A 27,175-nucleotide genomic window follows, 5' to 3' on the forward strand; every position below is an offset into this window, starting at 1 on the left:
TGGACGGCTCCAAGTATTTCTCACCAACAACTCTCTGAATCCTTAATTAAATTCCATGTCAGCCATTCTCAGAGAAGGGGAAACTTTCATTCCTAAGAAGTTGGGGCCACCTCACACACTCTAAGAGCTGTTTTTGTGACAACTGGGAAGTGATAACTGAGCCTTCCGCGGTGGCAGCCCCAGCCTGATGAGATGGGAAGGAAGGCGCTGACTTCCAGAAACACTGCCCAAGAAGGGCGCCCCGGTGGAGAATGCTGAGGCAGTGCCTGAGAGGTGCTTTTCTTGAACGCAATTCGGGACAGTGCTTTGAAAGCTGGAAGGCACTTTTGCTTCATAGATGGATGGAGCTAATTCAGCCATCTTCCCCTCTCCCTGTCTCTGACCAGCACGCTGAGGCTCTGATGGAATGAAGCCTGGATGCATACCCAGAGCTGGTTGCAGACTGACCTCCCAGGACACGCCCTTTGTCAGAGCCCTGCCTCGCTCAAGCTTCTGCTTGCAAACCCCCAGTGATGGGAAGCTCATTACACACATTCAGTTCTAACCAAAATTCTTACCCTTCACCTGGGCCCTACATCCCTGTGACTCCCCCTTTGGCAGGCCCAGGTCTGTCCCTTAGGAGTCCCCCACACTCTCCACCCTTTGGAAATTTGAAAGCACTGACCCCATTCCCCGCCCAAGTTTCCCCATCCAGGCCAAATCTGCACAATCAGCAAATATAAGGGGTGAAAGGAGAGGGTAATGATTTTGGCCAGCCAACTCCACCCCATACAGCTCTTCCTCCAGCTATGGATCCTGCACCTCAGGCTCCAAAGACTCAGTGCAGAGAGCTCCCAAAAGCCAAGAAAAAACTGCACAGGGCATTTCTGACAGGTACTATGCTAAGGATGGGGCCCAGCCAAGCTGCCTTACTCACTGACCACACCAACGACTCGCTCAAGTGTGAGTGCATACACTTGCATACACACCCACACACATGCAGATGGATGTACACTCTCATGCACACACAACACTGACTCAGGTGGGGGTCCTCGCCATCCTTCCCGGGAAGCTGCACTTCTGGTTTTACACATGGGGCTGTGGCAACACATCAGCAATCTAACCGAGCTGCTTCAACTTATCCTCACCACTTGAGAGGTGGCCCACCCACCTCTCCACTTTCCCTCCAGCGACAGTAACAGTGAGGATGCTTCTCACCTGCCAATGCTGCGCCTAATGGACTCTGTCCACAGACATGGGAAGAGAAGGCTGGTGCCCATAGGACCCCTCCAGCTCCTGAGTGAGATGGCCTCCTCCTTCTATGCCCCAGGAAGCAGAACTGAGCCAAAAGCAGCTTGGGAAAAGCACAGCCAGCACCCGCCCTGGAGTAGGACCTACAGAGGCCAGTGACCGGATGAGACACAGACGTGGATGTGATTCTCTGTCTATCTTCTATCAACAGCCCAATAACTCAGACTGACCGTGACACCTGTGATGGCAACTCTGCCACACAAAACCCAGGCCAAAACGGATGCTTGTGGGCTCAGAAACTCATTCTGAGACAGTTCCATCTGAGACCTTATGATCCTTTGTGAACAACTAAATGTACAGGAGTTCTAAAACCACCTTTGGGCAGAAGTGGGCAAGTTCTGGCCTGAGAGTTTTCTTCAAAGATGATGTCCAATAGGGGAATTGCTTTTCACTTTCACAGATCACCTGGGATCTTGTTAAAACAGATTCTGACTCATAGGCCTGGGATGGGACCTGAGACCCTGCATTTCTAACCAGCACTGGGTGAGGCCAATGCTGCTGGTTCAGGGACTGCACTTTGAGTAACAAGATGCCAGACTAGACTAGACCATCAAAGGCAAGGGCAGCCCCTGAGAGGCCCACAGGGGGTCAGTCCAGGGGAGGGTGAGTCCCCACACCTGCCTGTGGTGCTGCATTATAATGTGGGTCCTCGGTGTCTGGGAAAGTTGTCACATGAGCCTTTTTAGCCCTTTAATCAAACTGGTGTTTGCAAAGAGTAAGCTCTTGGATGGCCCCAGTTCCTCCCATGCCCAGAGAAACACAGCCCCTGATCAGCCATGCCCAGGGGACAGACCTTGGGTTCCTTTGGTTCAAGGGAACAGAGGAGGCTGTAAAATGCACAGGGGAGACCTGGGGCAACTAAGGACCTACAGCCACAGGATGACTCTTATCTTTGGCTCTCGGCCAGGGGCTGGGGCTCCAGAAAGGTGATGGGACAGGTTGTCCTTGAGGACCTCACAGCCTGGCAGGCAAGACCAACATCTACAGAACTAACCCTGATGTGGTGTGAGAAATCTTCCCCCAGTGATGTATGCAGGAAACTCGACAGACCTATAGGGGCAGCAGGAAGCCTGTGGAGTGCATGGCTGTGTACCAGGGAGGGCTTGGAGAGATGATAATGTTTAAGCTGGGCCTCAAAGGAGGCATAGAATTGTTCCAGATAAGACAGGCAGGGAAGGGCATTTTAGCTAGAAAAATGGGATTTGCTCAGCGCATGCTATATTCACAGAACTGTGAGTAATCTGTGTTGGAATGGCTAGAACAGCAATTAAGGGGCCTGGGATGAGGGCAGGGTAGAGGCCTCACTGTTCGGGGTTAGAAAGGTAGAAAGGGTCTAGTTATATACAAAAAAAGGGGAGATTTAAGGCAAAATAAATTTTAAACAAACTAAAGATAAAAAGTTTCCCTTTATGATTGTCAGTGTGGTAGGAATTAAATGTCACTCACTGTCTCTCTTTTTACATGCCTAAACTCTGAGATACCTAAACATTGTTTGGCATCTGGCTTTTCATCTCTTAACATTAGACATAAGCATTTCTCTAGGTTATTATGAACTCTTGCTGAACATCACCTTTTAGAGGCTACACAACATTCCAATATTCCACCACACAGACGCACAGAAATCCAGTCCCCATTGCTGGACATTCGGGTTGCTCTCCATTTTCCATGATTATAAACAGTGCCTTTTCCGAATTTTTTTATTTTTTATTTTTATTTTTTGCTCTTGTTGCCCAGGCTGGAGTGCAATGGTGCGATCTCGGCTCACCGCAACCTCCACCTCCCAGGTTCAAGCGATTCTCCTGCCTCGGCCTCCTGAGTAGCTGAGATTACAGTCATGTGCCACCACGCCCAGCTAATTTTGTATTTTTAGTAGAGATAGGGTTTCTCCATGTTGGTCAGGCTGGTCTCGAACTCCCAACCTCAGGTGATCCACCCGCCTCGGCCTCCCAAAGTGCCAGGACTACAGGCGTGAGCCACCGCGCCCGGCCTTCTGAATTTTTTATCATAACTTTGGCACAGATTCTAAGGAGTGGGATTAGAATAAAAAGGTGTTAGCTTAGATTTATGACTTATGATGCACATGCCCAAGATCACTTTTCAAAAGGGCTGTGGGAGAGGAGTTCTAGAATTGTGACAGATACCCAGATTCTAGAAAAACCAGCCTTTGAGTAGGAAGGAGATACCCAAGTCACTCAAGGGGCTCTTGGCCAGGGGAGGGTCATCTGGGAGGGGCTGAGCTCTGTCCATCACCTGTGCTCTGTGAGCGTGTGCACGCTGAAACTGGGATAGAAGACACAGTGGTCCTGTGAGCCCTGCAGGGCTAGCTCAGCTCGCAGCACTGGGTGGGATCAATGGGCCCGCTGAGGGCCAACAGGAGCTGCTGTGCACACTGGGTTCCTCTTACCTTCTAAGAAAGTTCCTTCTGAAAACTGAAATCAGGCCGGGTGTGGTGGCTCACGCCTGTAATCCCAGCACTTTGGGAGGCCGAGGTGGGCGGATCACCTGAGGTCAGGAGTTTGACAGCAGCCTGGCCAACATAGTGAAACCCCGTCTCTACTAAAAATACAAAAAATTAGCTGGGCATTGTGGCAGGCACCTGTAATCCCAGCTGCTTGAGAGGCTGAGGCAGGAGAATCACTTGAACCTGGGAGATGGAGGTTGCGGTGAGCCGAGATCGCATCACTGCACTCCAGCCTGGGCAACAAGAGCGAAACTCTGTCTCAAAAATAAATAAATAAATAAATAAACCAAAAACTGAACTCTTGGCTTCAGTGAGCTAGGGTATTATCAATAAATAGGACCAAGACAGAACCAGACAATGAGAGCATCTGAGCCCTCTCTTTAAAGTGTGGAGGCTGGAACACTGAGACCCTGGAAGCCAGACCCAGAATTTCTCCTCGGCCTGGTTTCCCTACCCTCACCTCTCCCTTTCCTCTGCAGCCTACATCTGTGAGGGTACTGAGAAAAAAGACCACCCAACTGGATTATTAAACAACCCTGGAGTTTGTCCTGAGCGCAGGTGGGGACCAAGGTGAGTGCTGAGCGCAGCTCAGCAGCTGCCTCCTGAGCAGGGTCAGGGCTCCTTACCTGCCAGGGCTGGGATGGTGACCCGGTTCCACTCCCAAGGCTGGTCGTACTCATCGGCGGGCCTGTCGTCATCCTGGGGCAGCTTGCTCTCCCGCAGTCGGGGGCTGACTGTGCTCTCCGAGTCTGAGTCAACACTTTGGCCTTCAGGTTCGTAAGGGGTGTCATATAACTGGATACCTTTATGCTGGGACCGGACACTTTCCTGCCTCTGAAATTCTGCAGGCAAAAAGGAAGGAAGCAGAGATGAAATGGATACTGCACTTCCTCACCTGCATTCCCACCCAGAAACACCACAAACTCAGAGCTGCCAGCGGGGAGGTGAGAACGACAGAGAGACAGACCCCTGTCTGGGTTTTACCCACCCCACCAACCCCCAGTGCCGCGTCTCTGCTCTTCCTGGGCCAGGCTTGCTCACAAGGCTCACATGCTCGCAGGCCTAATGACAGCCCTGCCTCCATCCACTCATGAATCTCAGGCTTAAGAGGCAGAGCCCAGATGTGAACATGATGCTCCAGGTGTGTCCTGATGCCCACCCAGAACACGCAGAGCTTCTGACCCCTTGCTTCATAAACAGGCTGGGGTCTTTCCCTCTAGGGCAGTTCCTTGCCCTCTTTGGACTTTCAGTCCTCATCTGTACAAGGAAAAGACTGGGCCATGCAGTTCCCAGTTCCCACCAGCTCACACATTCATTTAAAAGAACCAACAAGAGCCTCCCCAAGGAGACCAGAGGCCACTTTTCTCCCCCGCAAAGCCTGAGTGACCCCTTCCCTTTATTTCTACCTCCCCCAGACCATCTTTTAAATAGACTGAATTTATTTAGGGATTTGAGAGGGTGTCCAGCTTCACTTCTGAATAAAGAAAGCAAGCTCTTGATCTTCTAGAGAAGATGCTAAGGCCTGGCACTGGTGTGGGCTGAGGGATGACTGCCTGTCTAGACGAGGTCCCAGACAGGAGGTGTTCATTTTGGCTGCTGCTCAGTCCTGGGAGGCCAGTAGTGGCTGGAAGGATGGATGCTAGGATGCTAAAATCAGGCACTTCCCAGTCAAACAGGGAAATTTTACCTGCTGTTTGATCATGGATACTATGTGCATGGCCCAAGCGGGGAATGTGGGGAAGGTTTACCATGGAGGTTGGTTTCAGGAACCTCACTGTTCCCAGCAGACACAACATGTGCCTAAATTACCATCATGCTTGGCGGCAAAGGGGGCTCAGTGTAGGGCCTGGGAGTGGCAGGGCAGGAGGGAAGGGAGATGGCATTTGAACTGTCAGCTCTGACAAGTGGAAGCAGGAGAGGGGTGGCTTCCTGGTGGTAGGACCAGGGCAAGCCAATGCGATGAGGCTGGAAAGAACGTGCTTGCTGCCTACTTTATTTTTTATTGTGGTAAAATACATATAATAACATTGAGCACTTTTTTATTTTATTTTATTTTTTGAGATGGAGTCTTACTCTGTTACCCAGGCTGGAGTGCAGTGCTACAATCTCGGCTCACTGCAAACTCTGGCTCCCGGGTTTACACGATTCTTGTGTCTCAGCCTCCCAAATAGCTAGGAGCACAAATGTGCACCACCACACCTGGCTAATTTTTGTATTTTTAGTGGAGACGGGGTTTTGCCATGTTGGCAAGGCTGGCCTCGAACTCCTGACCTCATGTGATCTCCCTGCCTCTGCCTCCCAAAGTGCTGGGATTACAGGTGTGAGCCACCGCACCCAGCCAACATTGACCATTTTAGCCATGATTAACGTACAGTTCAGTGGCATTAGGTACATTCACACTATTGGGAACCTTTGGCACCATCCATCTCTAGAACTGTTTCATCTTCCCAAACTGAAACCCTGTACCCATTAAACACTAACTCTCCCCATTATCCCTCCTCAGCCCCCACAATTACCCTTCTACTTTCTGTCTCTATGAATCTGATCGGTCTAGGCACATCCTGAACAATGTGGAATCATTCAGTTTCATAATGTTTTCAAGGTTCTTCCATGTTGTAGCCTGTGTATGACTTTCCTTTTTCAGGCTAATATTCCATCATTATGTATATTCACCGTCCATGTTGGCTGGAGTACCAGGTCCAAGGAGGTGAGGGAGCAGAGGTGAGCCTTGATGCAAAAGGGGTGAGGACTGTAAGTGAGCTATTTCAATGCTCTCTTGAGGTCTTCCCGAAATCAGAATTCTGATGGCATAAAGATATGGCAGAAGCCACAGGAGTTATGCTCCTTGAAGAGCAGCTGATAAAACACACACAAATGACATCAGCCCTTCCGAGAAAGAGAGCTGCTTTCAGGCTGGGCTTTATGATTCAGGCCGGCTCATGTGGACACACGCCACGAAGAAACAGAAGCCAAGGATACTGTGCCTGTGATCATTAGTGTTTACATGAATTAACTTTATGCTAGTATTTCCCAAGCTTTATTTAGTCATGTGACTTCATGACTTGGGCCATTTCTGCCTACCAGTTGGGTGGTAGTAACCTGGGTGGTTACTTATCATTTTTATTTATCTCGCCTCACTTTTTAGATAAAATAAACTCATTTAAAAAAGAGACTTTGGATCACCATCCCATAAGCCATTATTCTTTGCCAAAAATAGATACTAAGCAGAATGAATAAAAACCAGCAAGGTAGGTGCTGATGCCTGCTGGGAAGCTGAGCGTGGGGCTTGCTTTCTCTGCTGAGAGGTGAGATTTGCAAGTGTTGGAGAGCCACCGGGAAATGCAATCAGCAAACAGACACTTTCTCTGGCAAATATGAATAATCTTCTCTCCCTGGAAAGAGAGAGAATAAGAAGGGAAAAACCTTCTCACTATGTAGTTCTCAGGGCACCTAATATCACATCTATGAGAAGGTGTCCCACACTTTGGCAAACACAGCTTTTATTGGGTCCCATGAGTAAACTCGGATCATTTATTAGTTTTGAGGATGATGCTTCCTTTTTTTACCGAGGGAGGAACAGGAAAAGAGAAGGGAAAAGAGTGGTAGGACTTTGTCACTTTACGGTGAAGACCAACTGTTAAGTACGGTGGACAACTTCGTAAATCACTAAATCTACCAAACTAATCTGCAACTTATTGTCTTGTAGGGTCCTCATCACCTGTATTCGTCTTCCTCCGTTCTGAGGAGTGAAGTCTAGCCTCCTGTCTGCAGAATTCTGGGGGCTGAGGATACGGCAGCTGAGAAGGCACTGACCTGGGAAAACCACCTTCCTCTTCACCCTCCTTCACAAAAGCAGGACCAGCAACCACTCCCATGTACACAGTTGATGAAGTACTTTTCATGCAATTCACCATTTAATCTAAAGGAACCACAAACAATTCACAGATGTACTTCCCGTCGGGCCCCTGATAATCAGGAGTGCTTTTGCTCACTCTCACGCCAAAGAGATACTCAGTGAATGTGGTGGGATAAATGAAACAGAACTGACAGCCAGAAACCACTATTTACCCCCAAATTCCAGATACTTTATGAAAGTCCCTGACAGTAGTGATAAAGGATCTGGGACAATATGCCAAATGCATACAGTTTAGTGTTAAACAATATGCATTAGAGACAGATATTCTCCATAAACACCAGCCTTAAAGGGAAACATGTGCAGTGAACAGATTAGCTATTAAATCAGAGGACTTGTGCATACACCTCTCATGCAGGATTTATTGTTCCAGAAGCATCTGCACCTTACCAAAGCTGGACTAGTAATGGCATGCAGTTAGGGCAGGGGATGTTATAACGGTAATCATTAAAACAAGCCTCCCCCACTACATTACATGGCGAATTCAAATTTTCATTAAGGCCCCAACAATAGGGAAGAGTTAAGTAAATTATGGCATGTTAACTGGATGGAATATTAAGCAGCCATTAAAATGATCAATCTGAAGATTATGTAGCGACATGGGAAACCATGCAAGAAATTATGCTAAGCTAAAAAGTAAAATGCAAGATTGTTTATGTGTGGGGGGCAAAGTATAACGCAGGCTTTTTAAACAAGTCTCCGTCAATATGAGCAGGGCCCCACAGGGAATTCTGCTCCTTGCCTGGGCATTGGTAAATACTGACATCACAGATTTGGCCTATATCTACACTGTGATGACAGCAACGTTGTAAGTACAGACATCCACAACACCAAGAGCTGAAAAACCCAATACAGGAAGGTAAACAGCTACTGTGTAGAGGAGAAGGGATTATCGCGTAATTATTTTTGAAAGTTGTTTTAAATAATGAATAAAGACACTAGAGCAGAAAAAATGTAATTAAGATGAGCACATGAAAGAGAGTAAATATGATTTTAAGCAGGCTGGGCTTCCAGGAGCTGCGTGTATTTAGGAAGCAGCTGCCTTTCCCTGAGAAAATGCCCATTTGGGAGCATCTTCTCTCCTGGGAGAGGCTCACCAACAGCTCCAGGACATCGAAGGCCCTTGTGCCAGGCCAGCTTGCCAGATGTTGCTGCCTCCTGCCTAACTACCAGGCCCGTCTTCCTTATTAGCTGGGCCAATCCATGAGGGTCCAGAGACCGATCTCACAAGGGAGTCTGTGACCATATGTTTTAAGTCACAAGTTATCTGAACATCAGCATCTACACATTCATGCAAAATGACCTTTAATATTAGGTGGCAGTCTGTAATTTCATGCCTCTTAGGCAGAAAGCAGAAACATTAACAGGATGGGGGTTTCTGTTGACCTCTGGAGCAGAAAGGTTTGTAAACAGAACTACATACATAGAAAGAAAAGAAGACTAAAGCACTTTCTTTAGAATCAGAGAATGTTAGAACTGAAAGGGACCCTAAGAATTTGCCTGGGCCCATTCACCAGGAGAGCTAGGCAGGTGTGCTCCCCACAGACTGCGGCCATGGCGGGGTCTGCCCATGGGAATGTGGAGAAGGTAAGGGCTGGGGAAGAGAGCAGGCAGTAATCCTGAGAGGATGTGATGGGGGTTTAAAAGATTGCCCAGTCCACAAGCAACAAGCTATACTCTGCTCCAGTATTCACCAACTTAGTGCCTCCCTGAAAAAAAAAAAACAAAAAAACAACAACAACAAAAAAAACAGGCCCCCCCACCAAAGTTGGGTGCAGTGGTTCATGCCTGTAACCCCAGCACTTTGGGAGGCCAAGGTGGGCAGATCACTTGAGGTCAAGAGTCCGAGACCAGTCTGGCCAACATGGTGAAACCCCATCTCTACTAATAATACAAAAATTAGCCAGGCATGGTGGCAGGTACCTGTAAAATTTTTTGGTTTTCCAATGCACACAAAAGTTATATTTATATTATACTGTAGTTTATTAAATGTGCAATACCACTGCCTTAAAAAAATGTAGAACCTTAATTTTAAAAATATTTTATTGCCAAAAACTGCTTACAATCATCTAAGCCTTCAGTGAGTCATCTTTTTGCTGGTGGAGGGTCTTGCTTTGATGTTGCCGGCTGCCGACTGATCAGGGTGGTAGTTCCTGAAGGCTGAGGTGGCTGTGGAAAATTTTTTATGCCCCTCCCCCCAGCTGTGGGAATTTCTTAAAATGAGACAATAAAATTTGCCACATAGATTGACTCTTCCTTTCACGAAAGATTTCTCTTAGCGAAAGGCTGTTTTATAACATTTTACCCACGGCAGAACTTCTTTCAAAATTGGAGTCAATCTTTTCAAACTCTGCTGCTGCTTCATCAACTAAGTTTATGTACTATTCTAAATCCTATGTTGTCATTTTAACAATGTTCCCAGCATCTTCATCAGGAATAGATTCTATCTCAAGAAAACTGTCTTTGCTCATCCATAAGAAGCAACTCTTTATTTGTTCAAGTTTGATCATAAGATTCCTGCAATTCAGTTACATCTTCAGACTCCACTTCTAATGCTAGTTCTCTTGTTATTTTCATCATATTTGCAGTTACTTCCTCCACTGAAGTCTTGAAGGCCTCAAAGTCATCTGTGAGGACTGGACTCTTCTTCCAAACTCCTGTTAATGTGGCTATTTTGACCCCTTTCATGAATCACAAATGTACTTAATGGCTTCTAGAACAGTAAATCTTCCCCAGAAGGTTTTCAGTTTACTTTGCCCAGGTCCATCAGAGGAATCACTATCTCTGGCAGCTATAGCCTTATGAGATGTATTTCTTAAATAATAAGACTTCAAAGTTGAGATTACTCCTTGATCCATGGGCCGCGGAATGGATGTTGTGTTAGCAGGCATGAAAACAACATTCATCTCCTCGTACATCCCCAGCTGAGCTCTTGGGTGACCAAGAACAGTGTCAATCAGCAGTAGTATCTTTAAAGGAATCTTTTTTTCCTTAAAGTTGGTCTCAAAAGTGGGCTTAAAATATTCAGTAAACCATGCTGTAAACAGAGGAACTGCCATCCAGGCTTTGTTGTTCCATTCACAGGGCACGAGCAGGGTAGATTTAGCATAATTCTTAAGGGCTCCAGGATTTTTCAGAATGGCAAATGAGCACTGGCTTCAACTTACAATCACCAGCTGCATTAGTCCCTAACAAGAGAGGCAGCCTGTCCTTTGAAGCTTTGAAGCCAGGCATTGACTTCCCTATGGCTCTGAAAGTCCTAGATGGCATCTTCTTCCAATAGAAGGCTGCTTTGTCTACACTGAAAATCTGTTGTTTTGCATAGCCACCTTCATCGATGACCTCAGCTAGATCTTCTGGATAACTTGCTGCAGTTTCTACATCAGCACTTGCTGCTTCACCACACACTTCCATGTTATGGAAATGGCTTCTTTCCTTAAACCTCAGAAATCAACCTCTGTTAGCTTTTCTGAAGCTTCCTCCACTCTCTCAGCCTTCACAGAATTGAAGAGTTAGGGCCTTGCTCCAGATTAGGCTTTGATTTAAGGGAATTTGTGGCTGGTTTGAGCTTCTATCTAGACCAAACTCTCTCTCTAATAGCAACAAGGCTGTTTTGCTTTCTTTTCAATTGTGTATTCGCAGGAGTGACACTTTTAATTTTCTTCAACTTTTCCTTTACATCCACAACCTGGCTAACTATTCGGTGCAAGAAGCCTACCTTTTGGCAGATCTCGGTTTTTGACATGACTTCTGCACTAGGCTTATTTCCAAGATTTTGGTTTAAAGTGAGAGATGTGTGACTCTCCCTTTCCTTTGAACATGTAGAGGCCATTGTTGAATTATTAATAGGCCTGATTTCAACATTGTTGTGTTTTACAGAATAGAGAGGCCCAAGGAGAGGGGAAGAGATGAAGGAATGGTCAGTCAGTGGGGCAGTCAGAACACACATAACATTTATTAAGTTCGCCATCTTCTGTGGGTGCAGTTTGTGGTGCCCCAAAACAATTACAACAGTAACATCAAAGATCACTGATCACAGGTCACCGTAACAGCTATAATAATAAAAAGGTTTGAAATATGAGAATTACCAAAATGTGACACAGAGACACAAAATGAGCACACGCTGTTGGAAAAATGATGCTGATAGACTTACTTGAAGGAAGGTTGCCACAAACCTTCATTTTGTAAAAAAAAAAAAAATGCAATACCTGCAAACCACAATGAAGCAATGCACAATAAAATGAAGTATGCCTAAACATTTTATTATGGAGAGTCTCAAAATCTGTATTTTGAAAGAAGATGGGCCAGATGTGGTGGCTCACGCCTGTACTCCTAGCGCTTTGGGAGGCCAAGGGGGGTGGATCACCTGAGGACAGGAGTTCGAGACCAGCCTGGCCAACATGGTAAAACCCCGTCTCTACTAAAAATACAAAAATTAGAGGGGTGTGGTGGTGGGCACCTATAATCCCAGCTACTGGGAAGGCTGAGGCAGGAGAATTGCTTGTACCCAGGGGGCGGAGGTTGCAGTGAGCTGAGATTGCGCCACTTTACTCCAGCCGGGGCAAAAGAGCAAAACTCCGTCTCAAAAAAAATGGATAAGTAGGCCGGGTGCAGTGGCTCACACCTGTAATCCCACCACTTTGGGAGGCCGAGGCGGGCGGATCATGAGTTCAGGAGATTGAAACTATCCTGGCTAACATGGTGAAACCCCGTCTCTACTAAAAACAGAAGAAAAAAAAAATTAGCCAGGTGTGGTGGCACACGCCTGTAGTCCTAGCTACTCGGGAGGCTGAGGCAGAAGAATCACTTGAACCTGGTAGGCGGAGGTTGTGGTGAGCCAAGATCACGCTATTGCACTCCAGCCTGCGCAACAAGAGCAAAACTCTGTTTCAAAGAAAAAAAAAAGAATAAGCATCTAATGAAATGATACATAACATGTCTTATGGTAAACATCAGAAGAAACCTGTTCTTTACTTCTTTACCTTCTCTTCAGGAATAGAAAAAAAAGGCCTGGGTTTGCTCGCTGGAAAACTGAGGCCAAGGAAATCAGCAGGCCTCTCTGGTGCCCCCCCCTCCATCTTTTCCAGCTGTGCTGGCATCCACCTGTCCTCCCAACCAACCAACTATCTACTGAATGCCCAGTATGAGAGGAGACAGAGAGGAATGAGATGCAGTCCTGGCCTTCATGAAGCTCTTGGTAGGAGAAGGCAGAGCTCCCAACAGGGACAGACACAGCTCAGCCTCCTTAATGGGAGCAGACTTGATACCACAATCTGATAACTAAGAGACAGGTTTCCATTGGGGGAACCTGGGAGGGCCTTAAAAGAATTTAGACAGGAGGTCATAGCACAGTGATGTGGCGGCGAAAATGGGTACCAGAGGAAGAACCAAGGCAGAGGCCCAGGGAGTCAAAAGCTTAAGGTGTACATGAGGTTGCTCGAGAGGGCTGGGGACTGACAGGTACCTGGTGGGAGATGATGCTGGAGGCAGATGGAAGTGGGTTTCTGGATGGCCTTAAAAGTACTGCATGGCAGCACCCCCAGGAGTGGTAAAGGAGTGATGCCCAGGAACCTCTGGGCAGGGAGGAGCTGGGCAGGACACAGGCTGGCACAGACGTGCAGGAGCCTTGCTGGAAATGATAGACGCTGGCCTGCAGGCCCTTCACCTCTAATTTTCCCAGCTGGGCTTGTCTGGGAATCCATACCACTCCCTAATCATGGGGTAGCAAGCTAGGTAGAGTTGTATGGCTCTCCACTCCCAGGCCCTGCCACTACCTCTCAACCCAGGAAACCTCTATTCTGCCAGTGGTAGGCATGCCATCTGATCTCTCTCACATGGCTTTGCAGCCACCGGGGATCCGTGCCCGAGACGCCAGGGTTGCAGGTAGATTAGGCTCAGGGCCCCAGCGGTGTCAGGAAGGGCTGCATTACTGGAATGATGCACTTGCCACTTAGCGGGGCTGCCCCTCGCCAACCACCTGGAGGGAGGCAAAGCCCTGGGTCCAGGTGAACCGACAGGCATAGCAGCACTGTGTGCTGGGTGAAAACACCGATCCCACTAGAGTGCTTAGTCTGAATCCTGGCTCCAACAGGTGACCTGGGGCAAGTTACCTCAGTTTCTTCATCTCTAGAGGGGAGAAAACGGCACCCACTGGAGGAAGGATGTTACGAGGATTAAATGAATCCATATACGTCAAGTGTTTCGAACAGTGCCTGGTGCACAGAAGGCGTTTTGTGAATATTGCCATTTCAACGACCACTCCTGGGGGCTTCCTTGGAGCCCCATCTCCAAGACTCTTCCTCCTCCAAGGCTGTCTTTGCCCACAGAGCCACAGAAGGCCTGCTGACTGAAGCCTCACAGGCCAAAAATGCACTGGGAACGGGAGGGTCCCAATACCAACCTTTGAGCCTGTTGCCATTTCTGGGTCCACAACTCCCGAGGCCAGTGCCACTTTGATAATCTGACACCCCCACATAGGAGCCATACTCTAGGTCAGCTCTTGTACGTAACGTGAAACACACAGGGAAGGTCTCATGTATGTCTAGTCACCCCATTTTATAGATGGGGAAACTGAGGTCAGGGGAAGGGAAGAAAGTCACAGGGACTAGGCCCCAGGCTCCTTAACTCCTGGACCAGGGCTCTCCTGGCCTTTTCCAGACACTTTCTGACATTTTTTTTTTAAATCAGTCTGTCTTGTTTTTGGTCTTCTGGGGCCAGGGCGTCTATTGCAGTCAGGTCCCTGAGGTGTTAAAAGCACACCTGGCACCACGGAGTGAGCGATGAGCTCTGCGGGAGTGCCAGGCGGTTCTTCCTAATTAGACACGCCGCAAAACCAGCCAAGTTCCAGGTGCCACATCAAAAGGGAGGTGACTTTACCCCCATCTAAACCATTCAAACGTCTGCTGGAGAAGAATCCTCCCCCTAACCAGGGTGCTTCAACGTCTGAATTCAGGGGTCCCTCAGAGGCTGAGGGTGAGTGGCATGGAAGAGCAGGGCTGCAGGACGGCAAGGGCAAGGCAGGGCAGGGCAGCTCAGAGACGGAGCTGGAGCCACCCCAACCGTCACACGGCAGGAGGCCCCACCTCCTCCTCATCTATCTAGTCTAGTTTCCGGAGCTGTCTAGGAGCCAGGAGACTGACTAATTGGAGTTCTTCTGTCATCTCTTTTCCAGGCATGCACAGAAACACCCAACCAACAGAGGGTGGGCTCTGCGGAAGCAGGGCTGTGGGACAACAATGGTCACCTTAGGAGCAGAGCAGGGCCTATGGCTGCCTGGCTGAACCTGTACTGCCTGATCTTTTATGCTCAGCCTGAGGGCAAGGGAAAGGCCCAAGTCTGGAGTCAGGGTGCCTGGGTTTGCTCCCTTCCCTTGGTTGTCTGTACAAGGACAGGGTCTTCTCATGAGCCCCTCTGGCCTGAAGTACTCGAAGAGAGACAAAGCCTGCAAACCTGATGACGACCAATTGCTTTCATTGTGAGTAAAAAGGCCACGTGGACCTTGCCGTGCAGCTCTGCAATGATCCACAGTGTCCATTAGCCCTACCATCACTCTGCATCTTCCAGTGACTGCCTTTGCGTGCGGAGGCCTCTAAGCCGCTGCAGGCCTGCGTTCTGGCGCCATCCCCCGTGGAGACTCACTGAGGCGAGCTTGCTGCTCTGGGGGCCAAAAGCAGGGGGCGAGTGGGCCTCCCTTTAAAGGAGCCATGTCTACTTAGGAGACTGCTTTCTAAATCCTCGCCGACTGCAACATCCAACTTCATAGGCAAGTGGGGTGCCTGTTTTTCTTCCTCGAATACCCACTGAACCCCTACTATGTGCCACATTAGACCTGAGGCCAGATGCTGAGCACTAGATGCATTAGATGAGGGTCCTGCCTCCTAGGGAACTCATGGCTTAGCAGGAGAATCGGGACACCACCGTCTGTAAGCGCTGAGTTGGACAGCAGTGAGCGCCTGCCTGCGCCAGGCACTGTCCTGTGTCCTGGGCACTGGGAGTAAATTACTCCTCATCCTCAAAACAGAGAGGCAAGAGTTATACTGCATTTTATAATTCAGAAACTGAGGTTCAGACAGGAGCAGAGGCTAAGCCAGGACAAGCCTAGTTCTGCCTGGCTCCCAGCGTCCTAGAGTGGTGTATGTACCAGCAGCTTGATGGAGGCAGAAAGGAAATCTAGCCCTAGGATTCAGTAAAACTTCAGGGAGGATGTGGCATTTCACAGAATCTCAAGTCCTGATGCAAGGAGACACCTTGAGGGCCAGGGATGCCAACGGACCCTGCCTGGTGTCACAAACAGCGAGGAGTGGGCCCAGGTGTAGAAGGCTCTCCAGGAGAGGACGATGAGGCCATCAGGACAAAGGGCAACTGGGGCAGGACAAGCATAAACCAAGTTTGGGAGAGAGGAAAGCTGGGGGATGTTGAGGTGAAAATCAGGGTTCTTGCTGCCTTAAGCCTAATGCTCATGAGGTAGAAGGAAACAGGGAATGGCCCCCACAGAAGGTGGGGCCAGCTATGGAGGATCTGGGATGCCAGGACTAGGGGTGCAGCCACTAAAGGCAAGAAACTGGGAAAGGTGGACCAGGAGCCTTCATTGGGTTTGTGCTTCACATACACAAAATCCTTTAAGAAGCTGGCAGGACACATGGGGATGTGGTAACTAGACACTGATAATCTGAAGGTTGGGCCTTCCAAACAACTAGGGCTCCACCCTTTCAAGAAGTGGGCAGAAGATGCCCAGGGCTCCAGAAAGCAAAACACACTCCTGTGAACAGCCCCCAGATGTGGAAATGCTGGCATATCCACTGGGATGATGAGCAGGGGCTGGGCTAGCACGGGTGGCATCAGCATCCTCAGGCCAACCATGACAGGGCGGGCATCCCCGGGGCCCCTGTGCTGCAGAGAGCCAGGGCCCAGCAGGGACTTCACAGGGCTGCAGCACACACAGGCAGATGTGCGTCCCAGCTTGTTCCTTCTGAGTATCGACAGACCACAGCTGCACGAAGGGCCAGCGCCCCACACACGCGATCTTCCAGTCTGCTGGGCACGGTGCGGTCTCTGCCTCCAGAGAGGCCTGGGGCCACACTCTAATGAGGTAAAGCCATAGGGGACAGGCTTTCACGCCAGACCAGTCACGGCTATACCCCTTACCCTGTGGGGGCTTCCCTGCTCACCAAGTGGCTTCACCTGCAGCTCTCACAGAACCTCACAGAGCGAACCTCAGAGGGGCTGTGGTGCAGCCAGGCCCCTCCCCGCCTGACTGCTGCCAAGTCCACAGCTCAGACAAGCTCAGTGGTTGGGCCAACATCGCAAAAACTCAATTGTCAATAGTGCAGTAATCACCATTCTAGGAACACTGCGTGCTGGAGTCTGCTAAGTGCATGCCATCCAGCTTCTCGTTTAACTCTCAAGACAACCCCATGAGGTGGTACCCCACAGACACTGCCATTTTATGGACAGCCACAGGGCAAGCGAGGAAGGGATGGAAGCAGTCTGGCTCCAAAGTCCATGTCCTTAACTGTGCAGCTATCTACAGTGCCTTTCCAGCCCAAGTCAGTGTTCCCTCCACTCCACTAGGGACAAAAGAACACGGACACATTCAGGTCAGCAAGGAAGGCAGGCACTGAAGAGCCCAGTCCCAGCTCCAGCTCTGTCCGGATCCCACAAGGTTGAGTGACACCAGGCAAGTCGCTTCCTCCCTCTGGCTGTCAGTTGGTCATCAGTCAGGGTCACTGGAGTAATCTCAGGCTCCCTGCCCTCTAGCCCTGAGGTTTATCTGACCACATACAAGTCCCTACAGGATTCATCATGGTTGGGGGGCCTGGGAGGAAAGCCTGGGGTGGTATCACGAGGAAGAGAGTGGCCCACCAAGGAGGTATTCAGCACATTCTAGATGCGTCAGAGGGGCGGCCAACACAGGCTGCTGGTGCCGGCCTGGCTGGTGCTTAGTGATTACAAACTGGTAGTGGGGGCAGGGTGCCAGCTGCCTAGAGTAGAGCCAGGGTCCTCTGCTGGGGAGGACCTTCCCCTCTACCTATATACCCTGGGGGCCCTGGTCACCTGGGCTGAGGTACCCCTCACCACATGCCAGCCTTCCCAACCAAAGTAGCCCCACCTGTATACCTGGGGCGTCACAGGGTCACTGCCTCAAGCTGAGGGGTGCTGTTGACAATGTGCCCAGTGCCCAGCACAGCTGCCCCTGCGGAAGCAACTTGCTGAGATCTTGGCACATGCTCTGCCCACCCTTCTTCACTTTGGAACTGCTTCAAGAGAGGCACTAATCCCCCCAGGGACTGAGAGACAACCTTTGCCTTCTGGATAACAATGACGAGGCTGCCAGCCTGGGACCAGCCTGGCTCCCCGCTCACCAGCTGTGTGACCTTGGCCAGCTGCCTGATCCATCAGGGCTAATATTCCTCGCAGATGAGGTGAGAGGGGTTGAACCAGATGATCTCAGAGGCCTTTCTGACTCCAGAGTTTCTCAGTCTGCTTCTACAAAGAGTGGATATTCACACCGGCTTCTTCTTGTAACTTGCTAATGCTGTGGCTCCATCAAGTTAAGGTGGAAGGGGACCTGTCAAGAGCACCCATCCTACTAGCATGTTGGACGCTGACCTGGCATCCTGACCACCTTCCAGCAAATGCCTCCAAAATCCGACCACTACATGCAACAAGAACTCTGCCCACCGACAAGCTTCTCTTCCATACACAAAGCTGTGCTTTCCTGCCTGGGATGGTTCTTTTTATGTGTCAACATGGTTGTCCTATGGGGTGCCCAGATAGTTCGTCAAATATTATTCTGAGTGTTTCTGGATGACATCAACATTTAAATTAGTACACTGAATAGTGCAGATTGCACACCCCTCCTTGTTGGTGGGCCTCATCCAATCAGTTGAAGGCCTGCATAGAACAAAAAGGTGGACCTTCTCCCGAGTCAGAGAGAACTCTACTGCCTGACTGCCTTTGAGCTGGGGCATTAGCCTTTTTCCTGCCTTCAGACTTGAACTACATCATTGACTCTCCTGGTTCCCAGGCCTTTAGTCTTGGACTGGTACTAAACCACTGGCTCTCCTGGGTCTCCAGCTTACTAACTTACCAACAAATTTTGGGACTTGGCAGTTTTCATAATCACATGATCCATTTTTTTTTTTATAAATCTCTCTGCACATGCACATACACACACACACACTCTCTCTCACACACACATTTTATTGGCTCTGTTTCTCTGGAGAACCCTAATACATGCCTCTATGGACAGCCCTTTCCCCACATGTCCAGAACGTGGTCCTTAGACTAGCTGCTTGTCTGTTTCTCTTCTTAGGAAACAAAGGTCCTGCAAAGACTGGATCAATTCAAAGTCAAGTCTATGAGGAATTATCTTTATCACAATACAGAGGGATCCGTCTGCCCCTTCTCCTGACCCCAAAGAACGAGGCATGCAGCCAAATAGCAGTTCCCTAAGAGGACCTGCAATTCTTCCTTCAGGAGACTTGACAGTAGCAAAGCCACCATGAGCCCAAGGATCTTGGTGGGACTTCCTACCTGGCCCAGGAGCGATCACCTGCCAGGGGTCAACCAAAATTTAACAAAAAGGACTAACAGCAAGACTCCCTCCTTCCATATAGCACTTCAAGGTCCACAAAACCCTTTGCATTATTTGGTTCTTGTAACCACCTGATTGCAGACAGAGCCGGCAACTCCATTTAAGTGGGGAAACGGGAAACTCAAAATTGAAGGGCCTTGCCAAAGTCACAGAGTGAGCGGTCGGCACAGTTACTATGTCTCCACTTCCTACCCTGATGGCCTTTCCAACTCTAACGTCACTTCTTGTATTTCTTGGTGTTACAGCACATAAAACCCTATTAAAGTGTTGTTGTTGTTGCTGTTTTCGCTTTTGTTTTAAAGAGGAGTGGGGAAGGAAAAGGTGTGTGTGGGATGCCATGCACAAGAGCCAGGAACCTGAAAGTTGCCACTATTCAAAATTCCTCTCAGGCAGCTCTTTCCTGTCAATAGCTATTATAGATGACACCATCCACACAACCATCCCAAGAATTATGTGGAAGGAAACATCTGGATAATCAACATTTTTGTGCTGGAAGAAACGAGAATAGCCCCTGCTCAGGGCCCTGAAAAGCCGTCCTTAAGAGGTTCCAGACTGTGTGAAAGATGTCATCAACTTCCAGAACACGAGACTGGAGGCACCTTGATTGAGTAGAGATGGCCTCATCTCCCCTGGTGGTCTGTTCCAATGGAGTCCCCTCTAGGTGCCCTGCTGACATGCTGCTGCTCCAGCTTCAAGTCTCAGCCTCTGTTCAGTTTAGAGCACCAGGTACTCTAAACTGTCAAGGGTGTTGGAGGTGGTACAGGGGCTCAGAGATGAATCCAATACTCCCACTGTCATCTCTCCTCCACCCTGGGAGCCTTGAGGCTTCTACCATTTTCTAGCCCTTTGCGTGCTCAGGCTCACCCCACCCCACCTCTGGGGGTCAAGTTCCAGTCGAATCCACTTAACACATCCCCTGTGATTCCCACAGCAGAACCCAGCTCCACAGATGCTCAGCAAATACTGGTGAAATGGAATAACATAAACACACAGCCTTTTGCAAATTCAGAATTTAGCACAGAAAACAAATGTTTAAAAAAAAATTTGTGTATTCTAAAAAGGGAACTGTACTCATAGACTGTTGGAGGAGTATAAACTGGAAATGCCCTTTTCAGAGGTAAATATCCTGTGGCCTAAAGTTCCACTTTTAGAAACCTACTCTACAGAAATATCCAGACCCACAGGCAGAAACAACTGCTCACAAATTTTGCTACAGAATGAAGGGAGCCCAGAATGAAGGGACCAGAAACTAGGAATAACCTACAAGTCTATGAACAGGAAAACAACTGAACACATCACGCTACAGTCACACGGAATCGTTCAATAGAACAAATGACCTCAGACAAGATCTGTGACAAAGAATAATGTTTGGCAGGATAGAATTAATGTAGAAAACTGTGTTTGTAGATACGCACAGATGTGTATTTTTGTAAGCAAATGGGAAAAGGGCTATAAGAATACATAAATTATTAACAATCCTTGTCTCGGGAGGGAGATTTCACTTTTTACCTCCTATAAGCCTGTATGCTGAATCTTCTTACTCAGAGCACATATTACCTAATGTGATAATTAAAATTTTAAAAGGAAGTTGCAAATGTGGCACATGAAGACTCTCCTGTTTGATATTATCAATATCTGTGACAGCACTTGTTGAGGGTCTATGTGGAACGAGGCACAGTGCCAGGAGTTCTACATTAACCCCTAGGACAGATGGGGAAACTGAGGCTGAGACTGAGAGGGCAGATACCTGAGCTGGTATGGCAGGGCTAGAATTTCCCACCTCCGCTTCTCTGATCAGAGTCTGTGCACGCTCTCCTCAGGGCTCCACGCTTTCAGGGACACTGCGTCATGGAATTCCATCAACTTCTACTTAATATTCCAGTGAAATGGGCTTCTGCATTCAAGAGTATTTCTAAACAATTTTCACTTCATGTAATGTTTATACATTTTGAAGTTTAGGAAATTAAGTTTGGAACAAATTATGTATTGGTTTTCAACTCCAAGATGTACATTTTAATTATAACATTCCCCCAAACATGACCCTGGTCATCCACAGAGGTACTCGATTATTAAAGAACCATAGTTATGGTCTCAGCACAGGAAATGATGAAAGATTTCCCTAAAAACACAGCTACAAGGACAGGCCTAATGACTTTTTGGGACCCATGGTTTCACTGCAAAGGGCCCCACTCTCCTGGAAGCTTGATACCCTCTAAGTCACAAGGCAAAGTGATGCCCATCACCCAATTTTGATCAGCAAAGCTCTGAACCAAAAACCAAACTGAGATGGATGATAACCCACAGGCTGTGCTCTGTGAAGGAAGGTGTGCTTGGGAGTGAAGGAGGTCAGACACCCTGTCAGAAGAGGCTACGCCTCACTGAGGGATCTGAAGGGGTTACAGGCAGCACCACGACAGGTTCTTTCCCACAGATTAACATGGGGTCCCAGGCTCCCACACCAGAAACATGCTTCTGGTGACTAGTGGCTAGAGTAGGTAAAGGAGGAGGTCCAGATACAACATATCACTTCACTAGTTCATTCTTCCACTCCTCCCCTCCGGAGCACCTGTGTTGCTGTTTTATGGGAAAACACTGAACAATAAAAACTTGGTCCAGCCGGGCACGGTGGCTCACACCTGTAATCCCAGCACTTTGAGAGGCCGAGGTGGGAGGGTCACCTGAGGTCAGGAGTTCGAGACCAGCCTGGCCAACATGGTGAAACCCCGTCTCTACTAAAAATACAAAAATTAGCCAGGTGTGGTGGTGGTCGCCTGTAGTCCCAGCTACTCAGGAGGCTGAGGCAGGAGAATCACTTCAACCCAGGAGGCGGAGGTTGCAGTGAGCTGAGATCGCGCCATTGCATTCCACCCTGGGCAACAAGAGCGAAATTCCATCTCAAAAAAATAAAAATAAAAAATAAATAAAAACCTGGTCCAGCTTTAGAGAAGCTCATGGCCTAAAAACGTGGTCTTCTTTGGGGCTAGGTAAGTGTGTCACCTGCTCAAGTACCACTAGGCTAAAGAGGCTTACACTTCAGTGGAGGGGCAACAGGGAGCCACTGAAGGATTCTGAGGAAGACTCGGGGTGAGCAGGGGCCTGGGGTCTGCCCCGTACTTTATCCCATGCAGGGGGCTGGGTAAGTCGTGTTCCCCTGGCCTGTTTCCTAACATTTTAGACTGGATTCTCACCGGTGGCCTGCCACCATACAGCATGGTGTAAATGAACTAGACAGCACCAACAAGGATCATCAACCACAGGACCACAGGCAAGTGCTCTCCATGGGGTGCCTGCCACCAGAATCAAATGCTACAGGTATCAGAGATAGAAACAGGGTCTGGTGAGCACCATATACGTATATGCATGCACACACACACAAACACACACACACACACACAGTCTCACACTCTAGGCCCTCTAGGAGCCTGATACCCAAGCTCCTGAGAACATGCCCCCAACAGCAGTCAATAGGTTTCTCTGCAAGGGAGCTCCAAAGCATTTCTTATCAGCTGTGCACATGAGAGTGTCTCAGCCAGGAGTTAGCGGCAGGCGAGGTGAGCGACAGGTGAAGAGATTTTAATAAAATGACAAGCAGCAGCCTATGTTACAAGAAGATTCTTGAGGTTTGCTGAAGGCTCTTCCTCTTCCTTTTTTCCTGGAATGAGATGAGGCTTAACACTTGCCTTTTGGATGAAGTCTTGTGACCAAGTGAATGAGAACTGGCAGGGAGAGTGCGATGGGAACGGATGCCTACTTGAATGTGTGTGCGCGTGTGTGTGTTAAACAAGAAAAAGGAAGTCACAGGAAGAAAAACGAACTGAGCTAAAAATAAGGCTGCTCCAACACTATTGTGAGACAGAAAATATAACCTCAGTTAGGCAGGGAAGCCAATGTGATATGAAACAGAAAATATAAAGTTCCCAGGGAGGGATAGCATTAGGAGATATACCTAATGTAAACGATGGGTTAATGGGTGCAGCACACCAACATGGCACATGTATACATATGTGACAAACCTGCACGTTGTGCACAAGTACCTTAGAACTTAAAGTATAATAATAATAATAAAAAGAAATTACAATGAAGAAATCCTATTCTTTATGTTAACATAAACATTGAGTTTGTGTTAATGTAAGTTAAACATATATTTGTTAATTTATTCTCCCTTAAAAAAAAAAAGAAAATATAAAGTTCCCACCTAAAAATAACTGGGAGTGTAAATGTGGACTTCACCGTTGAGAAATACGGAATTTTTGATATAAGCCTGAGCTTACAGTCTCACTTGGCAGGGAGGAGTTACCTGAACTTTGGAATTTTAAGGTTCTCTTCTAAATAGGAAGCTGACGATACAGAACTGAGATCAACTCCAAGAGCATTCCTGTCTATTGGCTCAAAGACCTACAAAAAACTTAGACTGTGAAGACTTGCCTGAAGCTGAGACCCAGGACGGCAATGGGTGGAACATGGCTAGAGTCAGAAGCCTGGCCCCAGCTGCTGCTGGGAGACCCCAGACAGCACCCCGTCTCCTTTGCAGCTTCCTTGTCTGCAAAATAATGGAACCATAGGCGGCTGATTGACCTCAGTGGTTCATTTACTTACAGAATCACCCTTTTTCATATTATCCCTTTGTTACTTTATAGATGGTTATAGCAACACTGCAATGTGAGAGAGTAGAAAGTGACCATGAGATCTGGAATGGACTCTCAGCTGGCCACTCCAAGCTGTGTGACCCCAGCAAATCCTCCAACTTCTCTCTGCTTCCAGCTCCTCAAAAGTCAAATAAGTCAGTAGATATGAAAGAGTAACCAATGAAGAGCACCGTGCATATAAATATTATTCTCTTCTGTCCCATCCCTCATTCCAACTTGATCAGGTTAGAATAAATGCAAATGTAACTCAAATGACTGATTACTTCCCATTTGATTCCACATACGAAATACACTGGCAATTCCAAATACCAGTAAGTTCATTTTGGAACTGGACTCGGGAGACTTAGGTTCAAACCCTGGCTCTGCCGCCTACCAGCCTATGCCCTCTGGGGAGCGATTTGCCCCAGTAGAGACTTGGCAACCTCTGTTGTGGAGTGGGGAGAATATTAATATCAATTTCATGGCGCTGTTTAAAATAAAACCAAACAAAAGGTATATAAAAGAGACCTGTAACCATAAAACCCCATGCAGATGTTACATATGAGGAATATACATAGAGTGCGCAGACACACAACCTTCCTTCTAGCTGACATCTGGTATAAATGACTCACCAGTCAATCGGTTTATGTCCACATGGGGAAGACTTCTCGTTTTTTTTTCTTTCATAATATCAGTCATGTATGCTGCCCTTCAATAGCATAAACATCTACCTCACCGTGAAATATTTTTTACATTCACCCCTAAAAGGAAGAGCCCTGTACTCTGTGACAAGGCTGAGAAGGCATGATCTGATTCCAGGGCTCAGCAACATGACACACAAACCCTTAATATCTGGAACTGAAACGTTCTTCCTGAGTGTTTCATTAAGTATATCATCTGCTTGCATTTGGCACTCTTCCACTAGCTGGGAACCTACAAAAATTGATGTGGGATGACAGCTGAGTTGGCGCTGCCAGACAAGCTTCCTCACTCGAGAACAGGCTGGGGGAAGGGCAGGCGGGCGGCAGCTGTCACGTTACAGCTGCCACCACACAGACACGCACTTCAGATTTCACTCACGTCCCCTGACGGAGGGAGGCACCAGCCACAGGCCACATGACCGCTGAGGCTCCAGCTCATCCCACTCATCCTTGTCCTGGTGAGACAGAGGCGGACACTTTCCTGGGGAAGTCCCACCCCACCCTCCCAAGGAATCTTTAAACTCCTCTTAGCGCGAGCCCTCCTCTGCTGTGTATACCTGCTGGCCTCTGGGCCTGATATTCCAGCCACCTGCCCACTGCTGATGGGGAGAAGGCCCTGCTTTTCCCAGCTCTGGCCACTGTCAGTCAGTCTGGAAAAATGCTCCTCCACAGGCCAGCCTGGGTCACAGCGTGCTCCAAGCCTGGGGAGCACAGGACCTCAGAGGCCCTACTGAATCTTGCATCACCCCAAAGGTCCTTACACTCTCATTCCTCCTCCACTAGCGGGGAGCCTCCTTCCTAGCTTGCTTTCCTCACCGTCAATGTCATGTATATTAATATCAGAAGGAATATTAGGGGGCAGAGGGAGCAATGAGACCAAGGGTGCTCGACAAACTTATCCAGAAAGCCCCCAACACCTGCAGGGGCCTCATTCCATGCTGGCTGATTCCCATCATTCTCATCTATTCTGCAGAGAAGGTCACTGTTCTGAAGACACTTGACGGCACTCCCTTACGTTTGCCAGAGGGGTTTAAAATCAGTTGCTCTGAGACCCAAATCACCATCTTAGGCAGGTGTCTTTGAACATCCAATTGGCTTACACCCAACAATTCTATACAATAGGTCAAATCATTGTTTCCTGGGGGTTTAATTTGCAACTAATTTCTCTTACAGGGTTCACCAGAAAGCTCCCACTGTTTAAAATGAAATGTACCAGGGTGCTTTGTAGAGATTTTTCTATGTGGTGGATGACCTGAAATGGTGGTTTTGAATAATGTCCAAGCCGAAATGACTGCAGCCATTCTGTGTGCCCGTAGTCAGCCAGGGTCTGCAGGTGGGAGTGGACACAGGGCAGCCTGCTGAGGAAGCCACCAGGCCATCTGTCCACAGGCTGCATGAAGCGACTCCACTTTCAGGAGCATCTGAACCCCTCCCCTTCCCTCACACCCAGGATGAACTTTCCTGTTTCTCGCCTGGATCATAAAGTCTGAGCTTAGCTGGTACTCATGGTTGAAGCCTGCTCAACAGGGAGAAATAGCACATAGCTGGGACAGCCTTGCAGCCTGTCCAGCCCTTGGGTGGAGGGTCCTTAACTCAGGCCTGAGGCCTGTACGTGTGCAGAATTCTGTGATCATGTACATAGGAGCCCAGAGCCTAAATAAAGCAGCAGTTCTTTAAAAAAATTTGGTAATTCAATGAACACTTAGATGAGAGTCTAAAGCCCTTATCTCTATAGTACCAACTGGCTCCTCATCTCCTAATGTTGGACAGACACAGAGTGTCCACTGATGTGCTGGCTCTGGGCCAAGGTTGGAGCCTGCTGGTCCCCACCTCCCCAGCAATGGCCTTTCTTTCAGCTCCTCATTCAACACCCAAAGGCATTCAAGGTTGGGCCTAGATCTCCCCTCCTTCTACTGTAGTCTCTTAATCACCCTGGAGAAGAATTCTGTCCCTTTGGTACCCCAATGTAGCACTAATTATCTGTCTGATTCACATGTCAATTAATCACCCAAGGCCTTAAGACATTGCCAGTGCTGGCTCTAACTGCCCTGTGACTCTCCATATCTACCGGCTTATCCTGGACTAATTTTCTTGCTTGATCCAGGTTTGAGAGCAGAGGCTCTATGTGATCAATCTGTGTGTCTGCCTGGTGTCAGGAGGATTTCAATGAGCTCAATAGTCTGAGTCAGGGAAATGGGAAGCTGACAGGCAGGAGGTGGGTGGGAGCAGGTGAAGGTTCAACAACTCCAGATAGTCCTGTGGGTACAGTCCAAGCCCCTTAGGGGGCTCAGAAAGCCCTTTATGAACTAGTCATCGAACATCTTGGCAGCCACGTCTCCCCTCTGTAAGTTCTTGAAGCTGCAGCCATGCCGGCCACAGGCTGTATCTCCATTTGCAAGCCATCCTTTCCCTCTTCTCTACATGACACCCACCTCTGAGTTAACTTCAGGACCCAACTCAGGTGTCAGCTCAGCACCTACGAAACCACTGGTGGGTCCCCAGAGCCACTAGCTAGTCCTCTCCTCCAGGTCTGAGCTTGGGCTGCTGCCTAGACAGCCCCTTCCCTCCTGGCCTGCTCATCTTTTAAGA

At 48.4% G+C, this 27,175-nt stretch overlaps 1 protein-coding gene across 1 annotated transcript in view; it reads right to left on the bottom strand.

Moving 5' to 3' along the window:
• SHB (SH2 domain containing adaptor protein B) overlaps nt 1–27,175 on the bottom strand; it is a 153,330-nt gene that overhangs the window by 54,347 nt on the left and 71,808 nt on the right. The window contains exon 3 of the mRNA NM_003028.3: nt 4,378–4,593. Within this exon, the coding sequence (NP_003019.2) occupies nt 4,378–4,593 (216 nt within the window). The remainder of the gene's footprint in view (nt 1–4,377; nt 4,594–27,175) is intronic.

Source organism: Homo sapiens, chromosome 9 (assembly GCF_000001405.40).
Source record: "Homo sapiens chromosome 9, GRCh38.p14 Primary Assembly".
Lineage (NCBI taxonomy): Eukaryota > Metazoa > Chordata > Mammalia > Primates > Hominidae > Homo > Homo sapiens.